At 42.1% G+C, this 27,227-nt stretch overlaps 1 protein-coding gene across 3 annotated transcripts in view; it reads left to right on the top strand.

The window, feature by feature from the left end:
• Positions 1 to 27,227, top strand: part of SAMHD1 (SAM and HD domain containing deoxynucleoside triphosphate triphosphohydrolase 1) — a 61,936-nt gene that overhangs the window by 14,079 nt on the left and 20,630 nt on the right. For all 3 annotated transcript variants that reach the window (NM_001363729.2, NM_015474.4, NM_001363733.2), the window contains exons 4-11: positions 2,441 to 2,601; positions 6,755 to 6,870; positions 10,378 to 10,448; positions 18,111 to 18,266; positions 20,581 to 20,681; positions 20,800 to 20,908; positions 25,078 to 25,169; positions 26,297 to 26,412. In NM_001363729.2, the coding sequence (NP_001350658.1) occupies positions 2,441 to 2,601; positions 6,755 to 6,870; positions 10,378 to 10,448; positions 18,111 to 18,266; positions 20,581 to 20,681; positions 20,800 to 20,908; positions 25,078 to 25,169; positions 26,297 to 26,412 (922 nt within the window). The remainder of the gene's footprint in view (positions 1 to 2,440; positions 2,602 to 6,754; positions 6,871 to 10,377; positions 10,449 to 18,110; positions 18,267 to 20,580; positions 20,682 to 20,799; positions 20,909 to 25,077; positions 25,170 to 26,296; positions 26,413 to 27,227) is intronic.

The raw sequence follows: 27,227 nt of genomic DNA, 5'->3' as shown, positions 1-27,227 counted from the left end.
TTTATTGAGATATAATTCACAAGTTGTATGATTCACTCATTTTTAGTATGCAAGACAGTGCTTTTTAGAAAGTTCACAGTGTTGTTCAATCACACACAATTTGATTTGAGTTGTAAGAGCTCTTTATATGTTCTGGATGTAAATCCTTATGGGAGATATGATACACAAATATTTTTTCCCAGTCTGTGGGTTGTCTTTTTACTTTTTTGATGGTGTTCTTTGGATCACAAAAGTTTTAAGTTTTTATGTAATCCAATTTATATTTTTTTTGTTCATTTGTGTCTTGTACTTTTAGTGTCATATTTAAGAAACCATTGCCGAACCCAAGGTCACCATGGTTTGTTCTTGACACAGTGTTCTTTATGCTAAATTTAGTTCAGTTGGCCTCTGAAGCTGAGATTGTGTAATGGTGAAGAGGGAGTGCAGTGTTTGACATAATGAGGACTAATTTTTCAAATGTATCAATGAATCTTTTTTTTTTTTTTTTTTGAGATAGAGTCTCACTCTGTTGCCCAAGCTGGAGTGCAGTGGCACAATCTCAGCTCACTGCAACCTTTGCCTCCTGGGTTCAAGCGATTCTCCTGCCTCAGCCTCCTGAGTAGCTGGGATAACAGACGCCCACCACCACGCCCAGCTAATTTTTGTATTTTTAGTAGAGACGGGATTTCATCATGTTGGTCAGGCTGGTCGTGAACTCCTGATCTCAGGTGATCCACCCGCCTTGGCCTCCCAAAGTGCTGGCATTACAAGCATGAGCCACCATGCCCTGCCAGAAACCCCATCTCTACCAAAAAAAGAAAAATTAGCCAGGCGTGGTATAGTTCCAGCTACTTGGGAGGCTGAGGTGGGAGGATCGCTTGAACTTGGGAGGCAGAGGTTACAATGAGCCCTGATTGTACTCCAGCTTATGTGATAGAGCTAGACTCTGTCTCAAAAAACAAACAAACAAAAAAGACAGTTATTACAACCTGAAAAATTTACAGTGAAGGCTTTTAGGTCCTTAAATGGTTTAAAAGTAGATTTTAGCCAGGCGCGGTGGCTCATGCCTGTAATTCCAGCACTTCGGGAGGCTGAGGCGGGCGGACACGAGGTCAGCCTGGGCAATATAGCAAGACTTTGTCTCCACAAAGAATAAAAATAAATTAGCTAGGAATGGTGGTACATGCCTGTAGTCCCAGCTATTTGGGAGGCTGAGGCAGGAGGATCCCTGGAGCCTAGGAGTTTGAGGCTACAGTAAGCTATGATTGTGCCTGTGAATAGCCAACGCACTGCAGCCTGGTGAGAAAGCGAGACCCTATCTCTAAGAAAAACAAAACAAAAAGAACACACACACATAAACACATTGTTCAGCTGTACAAAATTATTTTCTTGCTTTTTTTCTTCTTTTTTTGAGACAGAGTTTCTCTCTGTCGCCCAGGCTGAAGTGTTGTGGCACAATAGTAGGTTACTGCAGCCTTGATCCCCTGGGGCTCAAGGGATCTTCCTACCTCAGCCTCTAGAGTACCCGGGACTACAGATGTGCGCCACTGCATTTTTGTTTTTAAAGATGGGGTCTCACTATGTTGCCTAGACTAGTCTCAAACTCTTGGCCTCCCAAAGTGCTGGGATTACAGATGTGAGCACCTGCACTCGGACCTGCATGATTTCTTATCTATATGGTAGAGGAATTTCCATCTTTCTTTCTTTCCCTGCCTCCCTTCTTTCTTTTCTGTTTTAATGATGAGTGCTGTATAGATACATTTAGAAAAAAAAAAATTTAGGCCGGGCACGGTGGCTCACGCCTGTAATCCCAACACTTTGGGAGGCCGAGGTGGGCGGATCACTTGAGGTCAGGAGTTCGCGGCCAGCCTGGCCAACATAGTGAAACCCCATCTCTACTCAAAATACAAAAATTAGCTGGGCATAGTGGCACACCCCTGTAGTCCCAGCTACTCAGGAGGCTGAGGCAGGAGAATAGCTTGAACTTGGGAGGCAGAGGTTGCAGTGAGCTGAGATCGTGCCACTGCACTCCAGCCTGGGTAACACAGTGAGACTCTGTCTCAAAAAAAAAAAAAAAAATTAGACATAATACCTATAGTGATATGGGTTACATGATGTGGATGAATGTGTTTAAATCGAAATGAATATGCATGTTTAACTTGAATACAAGACAAACTTATTAAAGACTAAGTCATATACATAATAAAAAATCAAAATCCTTATTTTTCTGTTATTCACATCCATTAGGAAGAAGTAAAATATACTCAAATCCAATATACTTGATCTGTCTGGTAGTGATACCTAAATAAGGTAATGATGTTAACATCTTGTCATTTCCGTTAGTATTTTTACTTGAAAAATCAAATAGCTTTGACTTTGCACTATAATTAGGAATGGCTGCACACAAATTTCAGTTGGACTTACATGTCGTTATTTGTATTAATTAAACATAATTTTCTAGGTAATTAATGATCCTATCCATGGCCACATTGAGCTCCACCCTCTCCTCGTCCGAATCATTGATACACCTCAATTTCAACGTCTTCGATACATCAAACAGCTGGGAGGTGGTTACTATGTTTTTCCAGGAGCTTCACACAATCGATTTGAGCATAGTCTAGGGTAAGAAGGGAATGGGGTGGGGAACTTGCAGTTTTTAAGTATTTTCTCTGTCTCATGAAATAGTTATCTTAGGCCAGGCATGGTGGCTCACACCTATAATCCCAGCACTTTGGGAGGCAGAGGTGGGTGGATCACATGAGGTCAGGAGTTCAAGACCAGCCTGGCCAACATTGTGAAACCCCATCTTTACTACAAATACAAAATTAGCCAGACATGATTGTGCGCACCTGTAATCCTAGCTACTCAGGAGGCTGAGGCAGGAGGATCACTTGAACCCAGGAGGTTGGTGGTTGCAGTGAGCTGAGATTGCACCATCGCACTCCAGCCTAGGCAACAAGAGCAAAACCCCATCTCAAAAAAAAAAAAAAAAAGAAAGAAAAAGAAAACAGGAAAAAAAAGAAATAGTTGTCTTAATCTTTTAGAGAATAAATAGTTTTACAAAATGATGATAATGTCCTTATTTTATTGATGAGAAAATTGAGGCTTTTTTTTTTTTTTTTTTTTTTTTTTTGAGACAGAGTCTCTTTCACTAGGCTGGAGTGCAGTGGCGTAATCTTGGCTCACTGCAACTTCGACCTCCCAGGTTCAAGCAGTTCTGTACCTCAGCCTCCTGAGCAGCTGGGATTACAGGCGCCCACCACCACACCCGGCTAATTTTAGTAATTTTAGTAGAGACGGGGTTTCACCATCTTGGCCAGGCTGGTCTTGATCTCCTGACCTTGTGAGCCACCTGCCTCGGCCTCCCAAAGTACTGGGATTACAGGTATGAGCCACTGTGCCCAGCCCCAAAATTGAGGCTTTTTATTTACCTTGTTGCAATTTATTTATTTTATGTATTCTTAACCACCTCAGATCTTTCCTGGAAAAATAATGAAAGTATCTATAGACAGGTCAGTTGGATTTGTTTTTAAATATTAATTAAAAGCTAACAGGGGCTGGGTGTGGTGGCTCACACCTGTAATCCCAGCACTTTTTTTTTTTTTGAGATGGAGTCTCACTCCGTCGCCCAGGCTGGAGTGCAATGGCACGATCTCAGCTCACTGCAACCTCTGCCTCCAGGGTTCAAGTGATTCTCCTGCCTCAGTCTCCCAAGTAGCTGGGATTACAGGTGCCCACCACCACGCCTGGCTAATTTTTGTATTTTTTAGTAGAGACAGGGTTTCACCACGTTGGCCAGGGTGGTCTTGATTTCTTGACCTCGTGATCCGCCCGCCTCGGCCTCTCAAAATGCTGAGATTACAGGCATGAGCCACCGTGCCCGGCCAATCTCAGCACTTTGGGAGGCCGGGGCAGGCGGATCACTTGAGATCATGAGTTCGAGACCAGCCTGAGCAACATGGTGAAACCCCGTCTCTAGTAAAAATACAAAAATTAGCAAGGCGTGGTGGCGCACGCTGCAGCTACTTGGGAGGCTGAGGCAGGAGAATAGCTTGAACCCGGGAGGCCAAGGTTGCAGTGAACTGAGATAGCACCATTGCACTCCAGCCTGGGTGACAGAGTGAGAATCAGTCTCAAAATAAATAAATAAATAAATAAAAGCTAATGGGTCGGTTGCTGATACAACTAATTATGTATATTTGATTATTTAATTTTTCTGTATTCTCTATTTACTCTGGTACAGAGTTGCTCTTTCAAACCAGATCATTTTCTTACCTGTCAGGAAATGCGTAAGTTAAAAAAGCATTCATAATCTTAGAGAAGGCGATGCCTCTGTTACATACAACTAAGCTGAGACGTTGGTCTGCATTTCCATTATGCAGTGTAGAGCCAGGAGGAAGTGGACAGGGAAGAATAGACAGTCTTTGAGATTTTCATGAAGTACTCACAGTATATTACTTTGGTTTTCTGTTTGTGTAGAAGCATTTTTAGTTAGGCACAACATGTGTCTATACTCAAATGTTCATTCATCAACAAATATTTATCGAACCTTACTAAGCCCTACCAAACCACAAAAAGATAACAATCGCCTCTGTCCTCATGTAGCTCAGAGTTCAGGGGAAAAGAATTTAGGAATGGCTCAGATGGAAGTGCTGGAAGTGCATTTAAGTACTTCATCTCCAATTATGTTGTAAACATTACAAAGCCAGATATTCCTACTTTAAAAAAAAACTGTGGTAAAATACACAGAATAGAAAATACATAGTCTTAAGTGTTTTTTAAGTGTACAGTTTAGTAGGGTTAAATGCATTCACATTGTGCAACCAATCGATTGCCAAAACTCTTATCATCTTACAAAACCAAACTTGCCAAAACTCTTATCATCTTACAAAACCAAACTTGCCAAAACTCTTATCATCTTACAAAACCAAACTTGCCGGGTGCAGTGGCTCACACCTGGAATCCCAGCACTTTGGGAGGCTGAGGCCAGTGGATCACCTGAGGTCAGGAGTTCAAGATCAGCCTGGGCAACATGGCGAAACCCCGTCTCTACTAAAAATACAAAACCAGCCGGGCATGGTGGAGTGTACCTGTAATCCCAGCTACTCCTGAGGTTGCAGTGAGCTGAGATCAGGCCAGTGCACTCCAGCCTGGGCAACACAGCGAGACTCCATCTCAAAAAAAAAAAAAAAAAAACACGAAACTGTATACGTATTAAACAACTCTTCATGTCTCCCCCCGCAACCCCCCGCAACCCCCTAGTAACTACCATTCTACTTTTTTTTTTTTTTTTTTTTTGGAGACGGAGTTTCGCTCTTGTTGCCCAGGCTGGAGTGCAATGGCGCAATCTCGGCTCACCACAACCTCCGCCTCCTCGGTTCAAGTGATTCTCCTGCCTCAGCCTTCCAAGTAGCTGGGATTACAGCCTTCCAAGCAGCCTTCCAAGTAGCTGCCTCAGCCTTCCAAGTAGCTGGGATTACAGCCTTCCAAGTAGCTGGCACCTGCCACCACGCCCAGCTAATTTTGTATTTTTAGTAGAGATGGAGTTTCACCACATTGGCCAGGCTGTTCTTGAACTCCCGACCTCAGGTGATCTGCCCACCTCAGCCTCCCAAAGTGCTGGGATTACAGGCATAAGCCACCGCACCCGGCCCTCTTTTTTTTGTTTATGAATTTGGCTACTCTAGGTACCTCATCTTAGTGAAATCATATAATATTTGTCTTTTTGTCACTGGCTTATTTCACTTAGCATAATTTCCTCAAAGTTCATCTATGTTGTAGCATGTGTCAGTATTTCTTTCCTTTTTTATTTTTTATTTTTTATTTTTAAATTATTTTTTATTTCCTTTTTAAGGTTGAATAATATTTTATCATATGTATCTACCACATTTTGTTTATACATTCATTTGTTGATGGATACCTGTTGCTTTTACCTCTTGGCTATTTTGAGTAGTGCTGCTATGAACATGTCTGTACAAATATATTCTCTTTCTTTTTTTGGGGGGAGGGTGGTGGGGACGGAATCTTGCTCTGTTGCCCAGGCTGGAGTGCAATGGCAAGATCTCGGCTCACTGCAACCTGTACCTCTTGGGTTCAAGCAATTCTCCTGCCTCAGCCTCCCAAATAGCTGGGATTACAGGTACCTGCCACCATGCTGAGCTAATTTTTGTATTTTTTAGTAGAGATGGGGCTTCAACATGTTGGCCAGGCTGGTCTCGAACCCCTGACCTCAAGTGATCTGCCCGCCTCAGCCTCCCAAAGTGCTGGGATTACAGGCGTGAGCCCCTGAGCCCAGCCAATCTTTTCAAGACCTACTTTCGTTATTGTGGGTGTATACCCAGAAGTGAAATTGCTAAATCACTGTGGTAATTCCGTTTTTAATTTTTGTGGAGCACCCATACTGTTTTCCATGGCAGCTACACCATAATACATCCCCACTAACAGTGCACAGGCTTCCAACTTCTTCACATCATGTCCAACACTTGTTATTTTCTGGTTTTCTTTTTTTAATAGTAGCTATCCTAAGGGGTGTGAAGTGGTATCTCACTGTGGTTTTGATGTGCATTCCTCTAATGATTGGTGATATTGAGCCAGAGGTCCTGCTTTTGGGATTCCGTTTGTGTGTGTTCCTGCCTAGTTCTGAAATATACTGTTCAGTAAAGTTGCCCTAAAGGTATGTTAGAATGTTTAAGGAAACATACTGAAGTTCTTGAGGACCAGAACTATCACTCCTCTTGCAAACAGAAAAGTGACTTTTTGTGTTTTTGCTCTGCAGGGTGGGGTATCTAGCAGGATGTCTAGTTCACGCACTGGGTGAAAAACAACCAGAGCTGCAGATAAGTGAACGAGATGTTCTCTGTGTTCAGATTGCTGGACTTTGTCATGATCTCGGTAAGCTGTACAAAGAGACAAAGTTGTTATGTAAAATCATAACATATGTTACCTCTCTTTGACGTTAAAAAATCAGATCAACCAAGAGAATATGGAAATTGTATTTTAATTCTTCAGTTGATGTTAGTATAAATGTACTGTTGCTTCTTCCTAGAATGATTCATAAGTAGAAAACATTGCTATTTTATTTTCTTGGCAACTTTCAGTGAATTTCTCATGTTAAACATCTTTGCTAAAGTGGTTTTTTTGTTGTTGTTTTTTTTTTGAGACAGAGTTTTGCTCTGTTGCCCACGCTGGAGTGAGTGGCTCATTATCGGTTCACTGCAACCTCCGCTTCCTGGTTTCAAGCAATTCTCGTGCCTCAGCCTCCCGAGTAGCTGGGATTACAGGCATGCACCACCATATCCAGCTAATTTTTGTATTTTTAGCAGAGACGGGGTTTCACCATGTTGGCCAGGCTGGTCTCGAACTCCTGACCTCAGGTGATCCACCAGCCTCAGCCTCCCAAAGTGCTGGGATTACAGGCATGAGCCACCGTGCCCGGCCATCATGTTTACTACAGGTTATATGAAAGGGCTTTTTGCTAGTGAGTTTTTCTTACTACTGCTTTTAGGATGATATGTGAATTTTATTTTTCTTTTATCCTTCTTATGCTTATTTTTTTTTTTTTTTTTGGTCTTTTTTTTTCTTCCTTTTTGTGGAGAACAGGATCTCGCTATATTGCCCAGGCAGGTCTCGAACTCCTAGGCTCAAGCTATCCTCCCGCCTCTCCTCCCTGAGAGCTGGGATTACAGGTGTAAGCCACCGCGCCTGGCCTTGTCCTTCTTATCAAATAAAATCACCATTTTTCCTTCGGTTATTTGGTGAAATCCATTTTTTTTCATATTTATAATCTCTAATCTGCCCAAGTGGATTAACACATTTAGAGAACTCCTTGTCTTTTCTGATCCATGTGAGGTCTTAGGCCACTTTAATCCAAGCAAAAGAATATAATCCTTTTCCTGTGACAAAGAGAAAGGGGACTGTCCCATTTATTTTTTTATTTTTGAGATGGAGTCTTGCTCTGTCACACAGATTGGAGTGCAGTTGGCACTATCTTGGCTCACTGCAACCTCCGCCTCCTGGGTTCAAGTGATTCTTCTGCCTCAGCCTCCCGAGTAGCGCCTGGCTAATTTTTTTCTATTTTTAGTAGAGATGCAGTTTCATCATGTTGTTGAAACTGGTCTCGAACTCCTGACCTCAAGTGATTCACCTCCCTTGGCCTCCCAAAGTGTTGGGAATACAGGCATAAGTCACCACGTTGGGCCGGGACTGTTCCTTTTAAATCATGGGGGTTTTTACCTCTATCCTTATAGTTTATTCCTACTTATTCAGGGACTCTGAGAGTTTGTGTGTACCCTCAGGGCAGGGGAAGGGAGGTGCATGCCACTGTTTGGATAGCCAGATACTTAAAGCAAGTAGGCACTCTTTTTATGTCCCCCGGAGACTTACAAAGAACCAATACCAGCCCCTAGATGATAAATTTGATGGATTCTTGGTATTTTGAGGGAGAATCATTGGGAAACCTTTGCCAGTCCCCAGGAGCCTGAGCACTGCATTAGCGAGCCTTTATGTGTAGCCTGTGACTTGCAAAGCAGGGCCAAGGCTAGTCTAGGTAGACTTCCCTCTCCAGTTAAGTGGCTCACTTCTTTTTTTTTTTTTTTCAGATGGAGTCTCGCTCTGTTGCCCAGGCTGGAGTGCAATGGTACGATCTTGGCTCACCACAACCTCCACCTCCCAGGTTCAAGCCATTCTCCTGCCTCAGCCTCCCAAGTAGCTGGGACTACAGGCACATGCCACCATGCCCAGCTAATTATTATAGTTTTAGTAGAGATGAGGTTTCACCATATTGGTCAGGCTGGTCTCAAACTCCTGACCTCAGGTGATCCACCCGCCTCAGCCTCCCAAAGTGCTGAGATTACAGGCATGAGCCACCACACCCGGCCAAAGATAGATTTTTTTAAGCTTGAGAGTTATAAGAGAAATTCTAATTTTTTCTTCCTGCACCCCAGTGGATTTTCTTTTTTTTTTTTCCCGAGACAGAATCTCGCTCTGTTGCCCAGGCTGGAGTGCAGTGGCGCAATCTCGGCTCACTGCAACCTCCGCCTCCCGGGTTCAAGCGATTCTCCTGCCTCAGCCTCCTGAGTAGGTAGTATTACAGGCGCCTGCCACCACACCCGCCTAATTTTTGTATTTTTAGTAGAAACAGGGTTTCACCATCTTAGCCAGGCTTGTCTTGAACTCCTGACCTCGTGATCTACCCGCCTCGGCCTCCCAAAGTGCTGGGATTACAGGCATGAGCCACCGCGCCCAGCCCCTTTTTTTTTCTTTTGAGATGGAGTCTTGCTCTGTCACCCAGGCTGGGGTGTAGTGGTGTGATCTTGGCTCACTGCAAGCTCCGCTTCCCAGGTTCACGCCATTCTCCTGTCTCAGCCTCCCGAGTAGCTGGGACTACAGGTGCCCGCCACCAAGCCCGGCTAATTTTTTGTATTTTTAGTAGAGACAGGGTTTTTACCATGTTGGCCGGGCTGGTCTCGAACTCCTGACTCAAAGTGATCCACCCACCTCAGCCTCCCAAAGTGCTGGGATTACAGGCATGAGCCACCACACCTGGCCCTAGTGGATTTTCTTGAAACTGCTATTTTAATCCAGATATTTTCAATCTGAAGATTTCAAAAAGTTTTTGGCATTAACATTCTTTTTAGTTACACAGAATTGTCCATTTATCAAGCCCTGTGTGGTGGTGCATGCTTGTAGTCCCAGCTATTCAGGTGGCTGAGGCAGGAGGATGACTTGAGGTCAGGAGTCCAAGGCTGCAGTGCATAATGATCATGCTTGTGAATAGCCACTGCACTCCAGCCTGAACAACATAGCAAGACTCTGTCTCTTCAAAAAACAACAAAAACTGCCCTTTTATCAGATTTATGTAAAACCTGGTGACTGGAGACTGCTCGATGGAGAGCTTACTTTTCCATGTTTCTGCTTCCTGTTCTCCTGTTTTAGAAATAGGAAGAAAGGGTTTGTCCCTTTTTGTGATTGTATTTTTAGATTATTAATTTCTTTTGCTATTCAAGTTAAACTAAAAAGATTAAAGAATTCAGTTTGGCTGAGTGTGGTGGCTCACGCCTGTAATCCCAGCACTTTGGGAGGCTGAGACGGGCGGATCACCTGAGGTCGGGAGTTCGAGACCAGCCTGACCAACGTAGAGAAACTCCATCTCTACTAAAAATACAAAATTAGCTGGATGTGGTTGCACACGCCTGTAATCCCAGCTACTCGGTAGCCTGAGGCAGGAGAATCGCTTGAACCCAGGGGGCGGAGATTGTGTTGAGCCAAGATTGTACCACTACACTCCAGCCTGGGCAACAAGAGCGAAACTCCGTCTCAAAAAAAAAAAAAAAAAAAAGGAAAAAGTTTTTGTTGGTTTACAGATGTTTTTCTTGTTCTAAGGCTGCTTTTGTTTTTAAGGTCATGGGCCATTTTCTCACATGTTTGATGGACGATTTATTCCACTTGCTCGCCCGGAGGTGAAATGGACGGTATGTATTCATACAGTCAATAGTCAATAAAAAGAAAGACTATTTAAGCAGGTTATTTAGTTAATTTATCTGTTTGGTTCCACTACTGTGTTATAAAATACTTCCCCATTACAGTGTCCAGGGTGCTTTCATTCACATATATATATATATGCTTTTGTTTGGTTCTCACAGTAGTCTGTAAGGAAGTTATCGTTATCTCCCTTTTTACAAATAAAGGAACTTGAAACTCTTGGATGTGTATTGATGCATCAAAAATCACAAAGCCGTTAAATACTGGAATCAGCAATACAAAACCAGTTGCCAGTTTAATACTCCTTCTGCTCCATTGTACTACTGTATAATAAAAGGCCAACTCCAGTTTTGACACATTTGGTATGACCACGAACTAACTTACCAGCCAAGTCATATATATTAAATGAATCATTTTAAAATTAGGCATTTGCAGGTGGCTGTCCCATATTTTGGAATCAATTTTTGAGAAGTAAAATTAGGTTGGTTTTTACTACACTGTATTTCTGGAACGGGAATAGAAAAAGGATATTAATATATATTGAAAACTTCTTACATGTCAACCACTTTTTTTTTCTCTCTCTCTTTTTTTGAGGTATAGTTCACATACAATAAGTTGTCCAGATCTTAAGTTCAGTGAGTTTTGACAGGCGTATACATCCATATGACTATTACCCAGTCAGGATATAGAACATTTTCATCTTCCTGAAAAATTCCCATGTGCTTTTTCCTAGTCAATTCTCACTCCCCCTCACCCCACCATCACCTTCTGATTTTTACAAACATAAATGAATTTTGTTGTTCTTAGACTTGATTAAGCAGAATCATATAGGAGGTCCTATTTTATGCCTTGCTTTATTTACTCAACATAATGGTTTTGAGATTTGTTCATGTTATGTGCCTCAGTAGTTGATCCTTTTTTTTATCGCCTACGTAGTGTGGCATTATGCAAATAAGTCACAATTTGTTTACCCTTTCTTGTTTTGTTGGAATTTGGATTGTTTTCAGGTTTTGGTTGTTATAAATAAGGTTGTCGTGCATATTATCGTACAAGATTTTGGTAGAAATACATTTTCTATGTTGTTGTAGTGTGGAAAGTTAATTACATTTTTAAAACAAGAAATACATTCAGCAGAAATACATTATTTTATAAAAATAAAAATAGATAAAATAAAGAAATACATTTTCATTTCACTTAGGTAAATACCGAGGAGCTAGAATTGCTGGGTCATATGGTAGATATGTATTTAATTCTATAAGAAACTACCAGAGTTTTCCAATGCGGTTGTACCATTTTACACTCCCATCAGCAACATACTGGAGTTCCAGTTGTTTTACAGCCTCATCAACATTTGACCTTTCAAATTAGCCCTTCTAATGAGTGTCAAATGGTATTTCATGGTTTGATTTTCTAATGTATGTTGAATACTATTTCCTGTACTTTGTACTTTGTTATTGATATATCTTCTTCTGCAAAGAACTCTCAACATTTTACTCGTTTAAAAAGTTTGATTGCTTGCTCTTTGATTACTGAGTTGTAGGAATTCTTTATGTATATATATGGTTAGGTATATGTATTGTGAATATTTTTCCCCAGTGTCTGGCTTGGCCAATTCATTTTTTCATGGTGCCTTTTGAAAAACAGACGTTTTCAATTTTGATGAAGTACTCTGGTTCTGCAAGCCAGTAAAATGGGTAGTTTCTCACCAGTTTTTCTGTCCTGGGGCCTGCCCTTAGGCAAAAAACCATAAAACCGGAATGTCACCCAGCACCTCTCCCTTCTAAGTATTGAGGTCTAACATCCACTTGGTTTTGGTCTCTCTCCAGGACCTTCAGGGAGTTGTCCAGAGCTTATAGTTGTTTTCTTCTGCAGTTGATCTAATAGGATCTTCTCAATCATTACCAAATCTATTCCTTTAAGCATTTTGCCTTTCACATTTAAATCCTTAGCTCGTGTACAATTTATTTTTGTGTAAGTATATGGGAGAAATCTTTTTTTTTCTTTTTTTTTTTTTTTGAGATGGAGTCTCACTCTGTTGCCCAGGCTGGAGTGCAGTGGTGCGATCTTGGCTCACTGCAACCTCCACCTCCTGGGTTCAAGCGAGTCTCCTGCCTCAGCCTCCTGAATAGCTGGGATTACAGGCATGTGCTACCACACCTGGCTGACTTTTGTATTTTTAGTAGAGATGGCTTTCACCATGTTGGTTAGGCTGGTCTCGAACTCCTGATCTCATGATCCACCCACATCGGCCTCCCAAAGCGCTGGGATTACAGACGTGAGCCACCGTGCCCGGCCGAGAAATCTAATTTTTTAATAGTTCATCCTATCCCCACTGACTGTAATACCAACCCCAACATTTATTAACTTCCCATATATGATGAATCATTCTGCATTCTGTTCTGTTTCCACACTTGTTACTTGGGGAAGAAAAAAAAAGAAGAAAAGAAATTTTTATCTGAGAAATATGAGCCCCTTTACATTATCAGGCCCAGAGAGGCATTGAAATAGAACAGCAATCATGTCACGCCCCCTTGAGCTAAATAATTATTATCTCTTGAAGCCAGCTGTTATGTGGGATGCCAGGTAACCATAAAATGCCATATATCCTGTACTTCATAATATGTAGCCAATCACTAACTAATGTTATTTCTGTAAGCCAGTGAACATTCCTGACTAACAACTTTTGTTATCACCTCCTCTTTGTGATCACCTCCTCCTCCTGATTTATGCTCTTTTCTTTTTTTTTCTTTTCTCTCCCTTCTGTCTCTGTCTCTCTTTTTCTCTTTCTCACTTTCTTTCTTTCTCATTCTTTCTCTTTTTCCCTTCCTTCCTTCCTTTCCTTCCTTTCTTTCCCTTCCTTCCCTTCTTTCCCTTCCTTTTCTTTCCCCTTCCCCCTTCCCTCCTTTCCCCTCCCCTCCCCTCAACAGGATCTTGCTTTGTCACCCAGGGTGGAGTGCAGTGGTGCAAACATGGCTTACTGCAACCTCGACTTCCAAGGCTCAAGCAATTCTCCCACTTCATCCTCCAGAGTAGCTGGGACTACAGGCACACACTACCATGCCCAGCTAATTTTTTATATTTTTTGTAGAGGGAGTGGGCCTCACTTTGTTACCCAGACTGGTCTCAACTCCCGAGCTCAAGCTATCTGCCCCGCTTGGCCTCCTAAAGTGCTGAGATTACAGGCCTAAGCCACCACACCTGGCCAGTCCTTTTTTGTTTAAAAACTTGAGCCTCTTTTGTTCTCCCCAAGCATTCCCCAAGGCAATTTGTAAATGTGTCCTCAACCTTGGCCCAAATAAACTCTCTATATTAAATATTTCTCAGCTCCTTCCTTTTAGGTTGACATACTTTATAATAAGATTTATGTTTTTATTTTTTCCTTTCTGTGGAGAACAGAGTCTTACTATGTTGCCCAGGCTGGTCTTGACCTCCAGACTCAAGCGATCCTTCCATCTCAGCCTCCCAAGTAGCTGGGGCCACAGGCCTGCACCGTCACACCTGGGTATTTATTTGTAGAGATGGAGTCTTACTATGTTGCCTAGGCTTGCCATGAAAGTCATACATCTTTGTTATACTTACTCCTAAGTTCCTTATAATTTTAGTTGTTATTATGGTCTGTGCTAGCTTTATGAAACTTAATTTTTTCTGTTTGCTAGTATATTCACAGTTGGCATTGATATATTTAAAACTACTATTTTGAAAATCCCTTACTTTATTTATTTATTTATTTATTTTTATTTTATTGTTTTTGAGAGAGGGTCTTGCCCTGTCACCCGGGCAGGAGCTCAGTGATGTCATCTAAGCTCACTGCAACCTCTGCCTCCCAGGGTCAAGTGATCCACCTCATTTTTATTTTTTAAAATACTCTCTCTTGGCCAGGCGTGGTGGCTCGCGCCTGTAATCTGAGCACTTTGGGAGGCCAAGGTGGGCGGATCACAAGGTCAGAAGATTGAGACCATCCTGGCTAACGGTGAAATCCCGTCTCTACTAAAAATACAAAAAAATTGGCTGGGTGTGGTGGCAGGCACCTGTAGTCCCAGCTACTCAGGAGGCTGAGGCAGGAGAATGGCGTGAACCCAGGAGGCGGAGCTTGCAGTGAGCTGAAATCACGCCACTGCACTCCAGCCTGGGTGACAGAGTGAGACACTGTGTCAAAAAATAAATAAAATACTCTCTCTTTATATATAGATATTTTTTTTCTGAATCATTAGAAAGTAAGTTTTGACCAGGCACAGTGGCTCATGGTTGTAATATCAACATTTTGGGAGGCCAAGGTGGGCAGATCGCTTGAGCCCAGGAGTTCAAGACCAGCCTGGACAACATGGTGAAACCCCGTCTCTACAAAAAAATTTAAAAATTAGCCAGGCATGGTGGGGTGGCAGGATTGCTTGAGCCTGGGAGGTCGAGGCTGCAATGAGCTGTGATCGTGCTACTGCACTCCAACGTAGGTAACAGAGTGAGAACTTGTCTCAAAAAAAGAAAGTTAGTTTTTAGACTGGACACAGTGGCTTACACCTGTAATCCCAACAGTTTGGGAGGCTAAGGCAGGAGGATAGCTTTGAGCCCAGGAGTTCAACACCAGCCTGGGCAACATAGTGAAACTGTCTCTACAAAATTATGAAAACATCAGCTGGTCATTGTGGTGCACACCTGTGGTCCTAGCTACTGAGAACGGGAGGATTACTTGAATCCAGGAGTTCAGGGATACACTGAGCTATGAATATGCCACTGAGCTCCAGCCTGGGTGATAGAGCAAGAGCCCTGTCTCTCAAAGAATGTAAATTGTTGAAATACTTTATTTCTAAATACTTCAGTGGGTATTTCCTAAAAACAACATTTTCTTATATAACCATAGTATAATTATCAAAATCAGTAAATTAATGTTGATGCAGTACTCTTATCTAATTCAGACTTTCAAATTTTACCAATTGTCCATATAGAAAAAGGGGAAAAAAACTTTTTTTCCCTGGTCCAGAATTACACATTGCATTTAGTTGCCATTTTTCTAGTTTCTTTTGATCTGGAGCAATTCTTCAGTCTTTATCGTTAGTGACTTTGTCATTTTTTTAAAGAGCAACTGAGCTATTTTGTGGAATGTTCCTCAATTTGAGTTTCAGTGTGATGTTTCCTCATGGATTCAAGCTATGCATTTTTGGTAGAATGCCACAAAAGTGATGTGTCCAGATCGGACGCAGTGGCTCACATCTGTAATCCCAGCACTTTGGGAGGCCAAGGTGGGTGGATTACCTGAGGTCAGAAGTTGGAGACCAGCCTGGCCAATATGGCGAAACCCTGTCTCTACTAAAAATATAAAAATTATCTGGGCATGGTGGTGGGCACCTGTAATCCCAGCTACTCGGGAGGCTGAGGCAGGAGAATCACCTGAACCTGGGAGGCGGAGGTTGCAGTGAGCCAAGATCACGCCATTTCACTCCAGCCTGGGCAACAAGAGGGAAAAAAAAAAAAAACAACCACAAAAAATTAGCTGGGTGTGGTGGCACGTGCCTACTTGGGAGGCTGAGGAAGGAGAATTGCTTGAGCCCGGGAGCCCAGGAGGTGACAGAGCTAGACTCTGTCTCCAAAAAAATCAGTGATGCATCCTTCATAGTGTATCATCTCAGGAGGCACATAAATCCTAGTTGAGCCAATACCAATGATATTAATTCTGCTTACTTGATTAAGGCATTGTCTGTCAAATCTCTCCATTATAAAGTTACTATTTTTCCTCTTTGTAATTACGTATATCTTGATTCAATTCGTTTTTTTTTTTTTTTTTTTTGAGACAGAGTCTCGCTGTGTCGCCCAGCCTGTAGTGCAGTGGCGTGATCTCGGCTCACTGCAACCTCCGCCTCCCGAGTTCAAGCGTTTCTCCTGCTTCAGCCTCCTGAGTAGCTGGGACTACAGGTGCATGCCACCACACCCAGCTAATTTTTATATTTTTAGTAGAGATGGGGTGTCACCATGTTGGCCAGTATGATCTTGATCTCCTGACCTCGTGATCTGCCTGCCTCCGCCTCCTAAAGTGCTGGGATTACAGGCGTGAGCTACTGTGCCCGGCCAATTTGTTTGTTGTTGTTGTTGTTTTTTGGAGACAAGGTCTTGCTCTGTTGCCCAGGCTGGAGTACAGGCATGAACATAGCTAACTGCAGCCTCAACCACCTGGGCTCAAGCAATCCTCCCACCTTGGTCTCCCAAGTAGCTGGGACCACAGGCGCATGTCACTATACCCAGCCAATCTTTTTATCTTTTTGTAGAGACAGGGTCTTGCTTTGTTGCCCAGGCTGCTCTCGAACTCCTGGGCTCAAGCAATCCTCCCACCTTTGCCTCTCAAAAAAATGCTAGGATTACAAATGTGAGCCACTGCACCCAGCCTGATTCTGTTTTTGTGGGTTTTTTTTTTTTTCTTTTGAAACAGAGTGTCACTTTGTTGCCCACCCAGGCTGGAGTGCAGGGCGATCTCGGCTCACTGCAACCTCCACCTCCTGGGTTCAAGTGATTGTCCTGCCTCAGTCCCCCAAGTAGCTGGGATTATAGGTGCACCCTACCATGCCTGGCTAATTTTTGTATTTTTTAGTAGACAGGAGGTTTTGCCATGTTGGCCAAACTTGTACTGTTGACCTCAAGTGATCCGCCCACCTCGGCCTCCCAAAACGCTGGGATTACAGGTGTGAGCCACCGCACCCAGGCCTGACAGCCCTGATTCTGTTTTTAAGAATAGTTTCTGGAGCAAGAATTGTTTCTGCGGGGGCGGGGAAAGAATAGTTATAGGGCAAGTTGCTTGTAATCCTGCCACTTTGGGAGGCTGAGACAGGAGGATTATTTGAGCCTAGGAGTTCAAGACCAACCTGGTCAACAAATCAAGACCCTGCCTCTACAAAAAAATCTAAAAATTAGCTGGGTAGGGTGGTGTGCACCTGTGGTTTCAGCTACTCGGGAGGCTGAAGTGGGAGGATCACTTGAGCCCAGGAGTTCAAGACTACAGTGACCCCATGATCACATCACTGGACTCTAGCCAGGGCAACAGAGCAATTCCCTGTCTCTTTTTTTAAAAAAATATAGTTATAGGATAATTCAGGTTTTGTTTTTCATCTTGAGTTAGTTTTTGGTAGGATCTAGGAAAGGGCAGATGTCTTCAGGAGTTCATTTGATCCTTTACATTGATTGTGAATGAGTGAGCAGAGAGAGATGAGCAAACAGGCCAATTGGAGATTTCAAGGGAGATCTTTGTTTTTACTGGCAAGTTTGCAGTTACCCCTTTTCACCACTAGATGGTAGTGCCTAACAGAGCTTATAACTGCACGTGTTCAAAGGCTGATGAAAAAATAAAATTCAATTTTATGATGATATTTATTAAAATGTAATTCTGTCTACATGATCTTATAATATTCATTTAGGAACTGTAAATGATTATATCATTAAATGCATTAAATATGTTTATGAAATAAGTTTTGTAAAAGGTTTGTAGACTACTAGTAAAATGAAAAATCTGACAGGTTTTTAAAAATGTTCCTAAGATTGTGGTTAGAAACTAGAGAATTAATATGCAATAGACCTTTATCTCAGAATTACTTGGAATTGAGGATAATTTTGTTAGTCAGGGCTCCCAATGGGCTAGAATCTTTAACACATCATATTGTGCTTACTTTTCCTAGCATGAACAAGGCTCAGTTATGATGTTTGAGCACCTTATTAATTCTAATGGAATTAAGCCTGTCATGGAACAATATGGTCTCATCCCTGAAGAAGATATTTGCTTTATAAAGGAACAAATTGTAGGACCACTTGAATCACCTGTCGAAGATTCATTGGTAAGTTTATGTACAGCTTAATTTTAACTGACTGGTGCTTTTCATCTAGCCTTTTCATGATTCCTTCTGAGTTATACATTTGGCTATTTTAGAGGCTAAATGATAAAATATGAGTTCTATGTTTCTACTGTTTAATGCAAAAAATAAAAGGCTTATATTTTTTTCTACCTCTCAACTGAATTAGTTAGAAGTTACTTCCCAAAAATATATATACAGAAATTCTTTTTAGAGACAGGGTCTTACTCTGTCACACAGGCTGGAGTGCAGTGGCACAATCTCAGCTCACTGCAACTTCCACCTCCCAGGCTCAAGCGATCCTCCTACCTCAGCCTCCTGAGTAGCTGGGACCACAAACGTGCACTACCATGCCCAGCTAATTTTTGTATTTTTTGTAGAGATGGGGTTTTGTCACGTTGCCCAGGTTAGTCTTGAAATCCTGAGCTCAAGTGATCTGCCCAGCTCTGCCTCTGAAAGTGCTGGGATTACAGGTGTGAGCCACTGTGCTTGGCATAAATTCTTTTCTTTTCTTTCTTTCTTTCTTTTTTTTTTTTTTTTTTTTTTTGAGATAGAGTCTTACTGTGTTGGCCAGGCTGGAGTACAGTGGCATGATCTCAGCGCAGTGCAACCTCTGTCTCCCAGGCTCAAGCAATTCTTCTGCTTCAGCCTCCTGAGTAGCTGGGATTACAGGTGTGTGCCACCACGCCCGGCAAATCTTTGTATTTTTAGTAGAGACGGGGTTTCACCATGTTGCCCAGGCTGGTCTCAAACTCCTGACCTCAGGTGATCCACCCGCCTCAGCCTCCCAAAGTGGTGGGATTACAAGCGTGAGCCGCCACCGCGCCCGGCCATAAATTCTTTTTTAGTGAATATATATGCAGTATTTTATTCATTAAAAAAAATTTTTTTTTTTGGAGATGTGGTCTCACTATGTTGCCTAAGCTGGTTTCGAACTCCTGGGCTCAAGTGATTCTCCCACTTTGGCCTCCCAAAATACTGGGATTGCAGGCGTGAGCCACCATACCTGGCCTGCAGTATTTTATATAGAAGCCTAAAGTAACTTTGTTTGGAATGTAAATGTGTATGTTTTATTTAACCATTAAAATGAACATATTTGGCCAGGCTCAGTGACTCATGCCTGTAATCCCAGCACTTTGGGAGGCCATGATGGGAGGATCACTTGAGCCCAGGAGTTTGAGATCAGCCTGGGTAATACTGAAACCCTGTCTCATGCCTGTAGTCTCAGATGCTTGGGAGGCTGAGGCAGGCTGCAGTGATCTGTGATTGTGCAACTGCACTCCAGCCTGGGCAACAGAGCTAGATCCTGTCTACAAATTTAAAAAAAAATCATATTTGAAATATTTATAGGAAGATCTACAAAAAAGTTGAACCAGTTCAATGGAAAATCTGTTTTGTTTCCTTTTTGATCTTTTGTATTTTTTTAATTAAAAATAAAGTTGGGAAATAATTTCCCCCTGAGATTTTTAGGGCTGTTTCCTCAAATATATACAAGTGTACTTACAGTATAAGATAAACAGATGAGTTTTGTAGCAAATATCCTATTTCCAAAAAAGTGGAGCTCAAAGAATACATTCAACAATGCATATTATTTAGACTAGGTATGTAGCTACTTTGAAAGATAGTACTGTTTTAATGCATGAATTCAAGCATTGTTAGTTTATTATTAGATTTTATATTATTTATTTATTTATTTTTGAGACGGTGTCTTGCTCTGTTGCCCAGGCTAGAGGGCAGTGGCACAACCTCAGGTCACTGCAACCTCCGCCTCCTGAGTTCAGGCGATTCTCCTGCCTCAGCCTCCTGAGTAGCTGGGAGTACAGGCACTTGCTACCATGCCCAACTAATTTTGTGTTTTTAGTAGAGACAGGGTTTCACCATCTTGGCCAAGCTGGTTTCAAACTCCAGACCTCGTGATCCGCCCTCCTCGGCCTCCCAAAGTGATGAGATTACAGGCGTGAGCCACCATGCCTGGCCTAGATTTTATATTTTTCAAAAACTTATAAACCAAGAAAACACAAAAGTTGTTGGTTTTGGGAAATGTAATAGAGTTCAGATCTTTTCAGTGGCACAAGAAAATGTGGTAACAATAGGGTATCATATACCTTAGCATTTCTTTTCCCTTTCTACTAGTTTTGAAATGAAGTGGAAGAAAGAAAGAATAGAACCTTCTAGTTTATCTCATATTCCCAGTCAGGTATCTGTTTATATTTTACAGATTAATAAAATTGCTTTGCTTTGTTTATAAATAGATTTGGTGCCTATCCTAAAACTTCCAGTGGGTTTTCTTGCCTTCCAGTGGCCATATAAAGGGCGTCCTGAAAACAAAAGCTTCCTTTATGAGATAGTATCTAATAAAAGAAATGGCATTGATGTGGACAAATGGGATTATTTTGCCAGGTATGCACTGAACACTTCTGAAAAGTTGGCTAAAATATTTATATAAATTTAGTATTACTATTTAAGGTACAGCTTCCTTGTTGAAAAATTTCATCTCTCTGTTTTGGAATCCTTCTAGGGACTGCCATCATCTTGGAATCCAAAATAATTTTGATTACAAGCGCTTTATTAAGTTTGCCCGTGTCTGTGAAGTAGACAATGAGTTGCGTATTTGTGCTAGAGATAAGGTAAGCTGTGCCAGAGGAGGCAATAAGAAGAATGTTGTTCCTGGTCTGAAATTTGGAAATAACCATTTAACAATTTGGAATAATTGGTAAATCGTCAGTCTCTTTACTTAATTCCTAGGATTTGTAAATATCTTTAGTCTCTTCCCTTCTACTGCATTATTAAATAATAATAAAATTAACATGGACATTTATTAAGTTTTGAGTTAGACACTGGTTTTGGGGTTTTTTTGTTTGGTTGGTTGCATTTTTTTTTTTTGAAATAGGATCTCACTGTGTTGCCCAGGCTAGTCTTGAACTCCTGAGCTCAAGTGATCCTCCCTCCTCAGCCTCCCAAGTAGCTGGGACTACAGGTGCACACTATCATGCCTGGCTTGTATGAGGCATCATTTTAAGTGCTTTGGACGGATCAACTCATTCCGTATAACCCTGTGAGATAGATACTATTATTCCATTCAACAGGCAAGCAAATTAAGGCACAGAGAAGGCATATAATTAACAAGTGGTAGAGTTGGAATTTCAACCCAAAAAGTTTGGTTCCAGAGTCTCTCTCTTTTTTTTTTTGAGACGGAGTCTCGCTCAGTCACCCAGGCTGGAGTGCAGTGGCACGATCTCGGCTCACTGCAAGCTCCGCCTCCCGGGTTCACGCCATTCTCCTGCCTCAGCCTCCCTAGTAGCTGGGACTACAGGCACTCGCCACTATGCCCGGCTAATTTTTTTTGTATTTTTAGTAGAGACAGGGTTTCACCGTGTTAGCCAGGATGGTCTCAATCTCTTGACCTCGTGATCTGCCCGCCTCGGCCTCCCAAAGTGCTGGGATTACAGGCATGAGCCAAGGTGCCTGGCCCAGAGTCTCATTTTTAATCACTGTATTAGTGTTGAAAAATTTTATACAGTTGACACCTGAACAAAATGGTGTTTAGGGGTGCTGTCCCCTCTCCTAGTTGAAAATCTGTATAAAACTTTTCTTTACCTTTTTTTTTTTTTGGAGATGGAGTCTCCCACTGTTGCCTAGGCTGGGGTACAGTGGCATGATCTCGGCTCACTGCAAGCTCTGCCTCCTGGCTTCAAGTGATTTTTCTGCCTCAGCCTTGTGACTAGCTAGGTTTACAGATGCATGCTACCACGCCCAGCTAATTTTTGTCTTTTTAGTGGAAACAGGGTTTCACCATGTTGGCCAGGCTGGTCTCGAACTCCTCACCTCAAGTGATCCACCCGCTTCAGCCTCCCAAAGTGCTGGCATTATAGGTGTAAGCCACTGTACCTGGCCTGCATATAACTTTTGACTTCCCAAAAACTTAACTAAATAGCCTTCTGTTGACCAGAAGCCTTATTGATAACCTTAATGGTCAGTTACACACATTTTGTATGTTTTTTGTTTTCTTTCCAGACAGGGTCTTGCTGTGTTACTCAGGCTGGAGTACAGTGGCACTATCATAGTGCATTGTAGCCTTGACTTCCTGGGCTCAACTGATCCTTCCTCCTCTGCCTCCCGAGTAGCTGGGACTACAGGCCTATGCTTGGCTAATTCTGAAATTTATTTTACAGAGGTGGAGTTTCACTGTGTTGCCCAGGCTGGTCTCAAACTCCTGGGCTCAAGCAACCCATCCACCTCAGTCTCCTAAAGTGCTATGATTATAGGTGTGAGCCACTGCATCCAGCCTATTTTGAATGTTACGTGTATCATATACCATATTCTTTTTTTTCTTTTTGGATACAGGATCTTACTCTGTCACCCAGATTGGAGTGTAGTGGTGCGATCTCAGATCACTGCAACCTCCACCTTCCCAGCTCAAGCAAATCTCCCACTTCAGCTTCCCGAATAGCTGGGACCACAGGCGCATGCCACTATACCGGGCTAATTTTTCTATTTTTTTTTTTGTAGAGACAGGGTTTCGCTATGTTCCCCAGGCTGGTCTCGAACTTCTGACCTCAAGCAACTTGTCCTCCTTGGCCTCCCAAAGTGCTGGTATTACATGTGTGAGCCGCCACGCCCCATCTACTGTATTCTTACAATAAAGTAAGCTAGAGAAAAGAAAATGTTATTAAGAAAATCATAAGGCAAGGCCAGGCGTGGTGGCTCACACCTGTATTCCCAGCACTTTGGGAGGCCAAGGTGGGCAGATCACCTGAGGTTAGAAGTTCGAGACCAGCCTGGCCAACCTGGGCAACATGGTGAAACTCCGTCTCTACTCAAAATACAAAAATTAGCTGGGCGCAGTGGCGAGTGCCTGTAATCCCAGCTACTTGGGAGGCTGAGGCAGAAAAATAACTTGAACCCGGGAGGCGGAGGCTGTGGTAAGCCGAGATTGCGCCACTGCACTCCAGCCTGGGCGGCAGAGCAAGGCTCCACCTCAAAAAAAAAAAGAAAGAAAGAAATTCATAAGGCAGAGAAAGTATATTTACTATTCATTAAGTGGAAGTAGATCATCATAAAGGTCTTCATCCTCATCGTCTTCACATTAAGTAGGCTCAGGAACAGGAGGGATTGGTCTTACTGTCTCAGGGGTGGCAGCGGGGCAAGGAAATCTGTATAAGTGAACTCTCACAGTTCAAACATGTGTTGTTAAAGGTCAACTGTAGTTAAACAGCTGAAATCACTAGGTCCCTGTTAGATGGCAGTCATGTAATCAAAAAGTAGTATAGTACTATACTATAGAAAGTCAAGAAGGGCTAGGCGTGGTGGTACATATCTGTAATCCCACTACTTCGCAAGGCTGAGGTGGGCAAATCTCTTGGGCTACCGAGTTTGAGACCATCCTGGCCAACATAGTGAAACCCTGTCTCTACTGAAAATACAAAAATTAGCCAGGCGTGGTAGCATACACCTGTAATCCCAGCTACTCAGGAGGATGAGGTACGAGAATCGGTTGAACCTGGGAGGTGGAGGTTGCAGTGAGCCAAGATTGTGTGCCACTGCATTCCAACCTGGGTGACAGAGCGAGACTGTCTAAAAAAAAAAAAAAAAGTCAAGAATGAAGAACATAAGAATAGTAATACCTATTTCCTAGAGTTATTGGGAGGATTAAAATATATATATATTTAATTTAAGATGCCTAAAACGGAAACTGTCACAGAGTTTGAGCATGTGATAGATTTTAGGGTTTTTTTTTTTTTTCTTTGAGTTGGAGTCTTGCTCTGTCACCCAGACTGGAGTGCAATGGCGTGATCTCCGCTCACTGCAACCTCCGCCTCCTGGGTTCAAGTGATTCTCCCACCTCAGCCTCCCTAGTAGCTGGGATTACAGGCACCCGCCATCATGCCCGGCTAATTTTTGTATTTTTGTAGAGACAGGGTTTCACCATGTTGGCCAGGCTGGTCTTGAACTCCTGACCTCAGGTGATCTGCCCACCTCGGCCTCCCAAAGTGCTGGGGTTACAGGCATGAGCCATCGCACCTGGCCTAGTTTATTAAGAATGAAAGTTCTTGGCCGGGCACAGTGGCTCACGCCTGTAATCCCAGCACTATGGGAGGCCGAGGCGGGCAGATCATGAGGTCAGGAGATTGAGACCATCCTGGCTAACACAGTGAAACTCCATCTCTACTAAAAATACAAAAAAATTAGCCGGGCTTGGTGGCAGGCGCCTGTAGTCCCAGCCACTCGGGAGACTGAGGCGGGAGAATGGCATGAACCCAGGAGGCAAAGCTTGCAGTGAGCCGAGATGGCGCCACTGCACTCCAGCCTGGGCAACAGAGCGAGACTCCATCTCAAAAAAAAAAAAAAAGGAAGAAAGAAAAGAAAAAGAATGAAAGTTCTTGCAATGAAGGACTTGTACTCCAGCCTGGGCAACAGATCGAGACTCCATCTCAAAAAAAAAAAAAAAAAAAAAAAAAACAAAGAATGAAAGTTAGCTGGGTACAGTGGCTGATGCATGTTATCCCAGCAAGGCTGAGGTAGGAAGATCACTTAAGACCAGCCTGAGCAACATAGCAAGACCTCATCTTTTAAAAAAAAAAAAAAAAAAAAAAAAAATGAAAGTTGCAAGCCAATAAATGGCTTTACTAATCTGCCTCCTCATTTTTTAGTGGGGTCAAAGGTGTTAATGAAGAAGCCCCGGTGCATAGCCCTCTTGTCTGCCACTATCCCTTTTCCTTCCTTGTCCTATATACTTGTCTCTAATAACGTTAACATAATCTGATCCTATTAATATTTACTTCATGTTTTCCTGCAGGAAGTTGGAAATCTGTATGACATGTTCCACACTCGCAACTCTTTACACCGTAGAGCTTATCAACACAAAGTTGGCAACATTATTGATACAATGTAAGAAACTTGATTGTCATTTCCCTATAAAATTTTCCTTGATACTTGGCTAGAGTATCATACTAGGCTCAACTAGACATTTCTAGATGAGTTCAAGTGAATATTAAGTGATTAAATTGAAAATGGTTTCCTTAAAGAAAAAAAATCTAGCATAAAGTTAATTTAGTTGGAGGAAAAGGAGGGAAGTGGATAAAGGGGCAGATGGAGGGAAGTGGATAAAGGGGCAGATGAAGGGAAGAAGAGCTGGCTTAGGCCAGACGTGAAGCGGCAGTGCTGAGATCACTCAGGACCTCGGCACAGGTAGTCACTTACACACCATTCTCATCAGGAGAATGGGAGGTAGGACATGAATATTTAAATTCTGAGATTAATGACAAAAGTTAACTTTAAGGATTAAGATTAATGTCTATTTGTATCCTTTCAAATATTTATCAAAATTAGTACCAAATGGTAAAACCAACAGGAATTTTACCTCTTCCTGACCCAGTCAGAACCATAGCAGAAAACTGTACAGCCAGGTCTCTCCGTGACTCAAAGATCCATAAGGAGTTATCAAACACTGGGTGTGAGTCAAGTTACTTCTTCCATGTCTCTAAAATAGCCTTAAATTGATTAACTTTTCATGTTCGTTTTCACATTTGTGTTGAGGAAGTATATCTTCATTCCTATTTTTTACCTATCCTTTGTCATGAGCAGATTACTTGGAATACCTTCTCCTATTTGTATGTTAATTCTTCGGTAAGAGTTTTTGTTGTTGTTATTGTTGTTGTTTTGTAATTCAGAGATATCTAGTTTCAAAGCCTGGCACTGTTTCTTCCTAACTTGGTTAAATCAAAATTTACTTCATTTCTGCATCTATAAAATGAGGGCTGAATACACCTACCTTATTGTTGGGAGGAATAAATAAGATGGTGAATGCAAAGCCCTGCGACAGTGCCTGGAACACAGTAAGCATGGCAGCTCACAGCTTACCAAGCACAAATTTAGTACGGTGGAGAAGCAGTTGTCTTTAGAACACTGTGCCTCATTATTTTGTTTCCCTAAAGTAGAAAGATTTCCTTAAGTAAGACATAAGGCAAATATTCAAAATTTCTCATAAACATAAATTTTTGCAAAATGATTTTTAGGATTACAGATGCTTTCCTCAAAGCAGATGACTACATAGAGATTACAGGTGCTGGAGGAAAAAAGTATCGCATTTCTACAGCAATTGACGACATGGAAGCCTATACTAAGCTGACAGGTAAGAAGTAACAGGTAACATAGATGGTCCATCTCAGATAAACTGTAAGAAGTCCCTGAATTGCCAATGAGTTATTTTTCTTTCTTTTATTTTTCATTTTTAAAGATAATTATTTAATTTTAAAAAAATAAAGAAAGGGTCTCACTATATTGCCCAGGCTTCTCTCAAATTCCTGGGCTCAAGCGATCTTCCTGCCTTGACTCCCAAAGTGCTAGGATTACAGGTGTGACCCACTGTACACAGCCGATGGAACGATTTTAGCTTCCCAAGTAATTATCTCCTTTTGAATTTGAGTTTTATTTCTGTCTTGTACCAATAAAGTGACTTTGATAAAGGGATTTGACCTATCTGAATCTTTCATCTATAAAATGAGGGTAATGATACCTAGCATATAGTTTTGTTGTGATGTTTAAATGAGGCATAGCACCTAGTATAGACTTGATACGTAAGTACTCAATATACATTATTTAACTTTTTTTTTTTTTTTGGAGATGGAGTCTCGCTCTGTCACCTAGGCTGGAGTGCACTGGCACAATCTTGGCTCACTGCAACCTCCACCTCTTGGGTTTCAGCAATTCTCCTGCCTCAGTCTCCTGGGTAGCTGAGATTATAGGCATGCCCCACCATGCCCAGCTAATTTTTGTATTTTTAGTAGAGACAGGGTTTTACCATATTGGCCAGGGTCTTCTCGAACTCCTGACCTCATGTGATCCACCCGCCTCCATCTCCCAGAGTGCTAGGATTACAGACGTGAGCCACTACGCCCGGCCCATTATTTAACTTTTAAATTTAATTTTTTTTTATTTATTTATTTT

This window comes from Homo sapiens, chromosome 20 (assembly GCF_000001405.40).
Source record: "Homo sapiens chromosome 20, GRCh38.p14 Primary Assembly".
In the NCBI taxonomy this organism is placed as follows: domain Eukaryota; kingdom Metazoa; phylum Chordata; class Mammalia; order Primates; family Hominidae; genus Homo; species Homo sapiens.
Note: the sequence above shows the minus strand (reverse complement) of the source record. Positions and strands in the feature narration are given on the sequence as shown.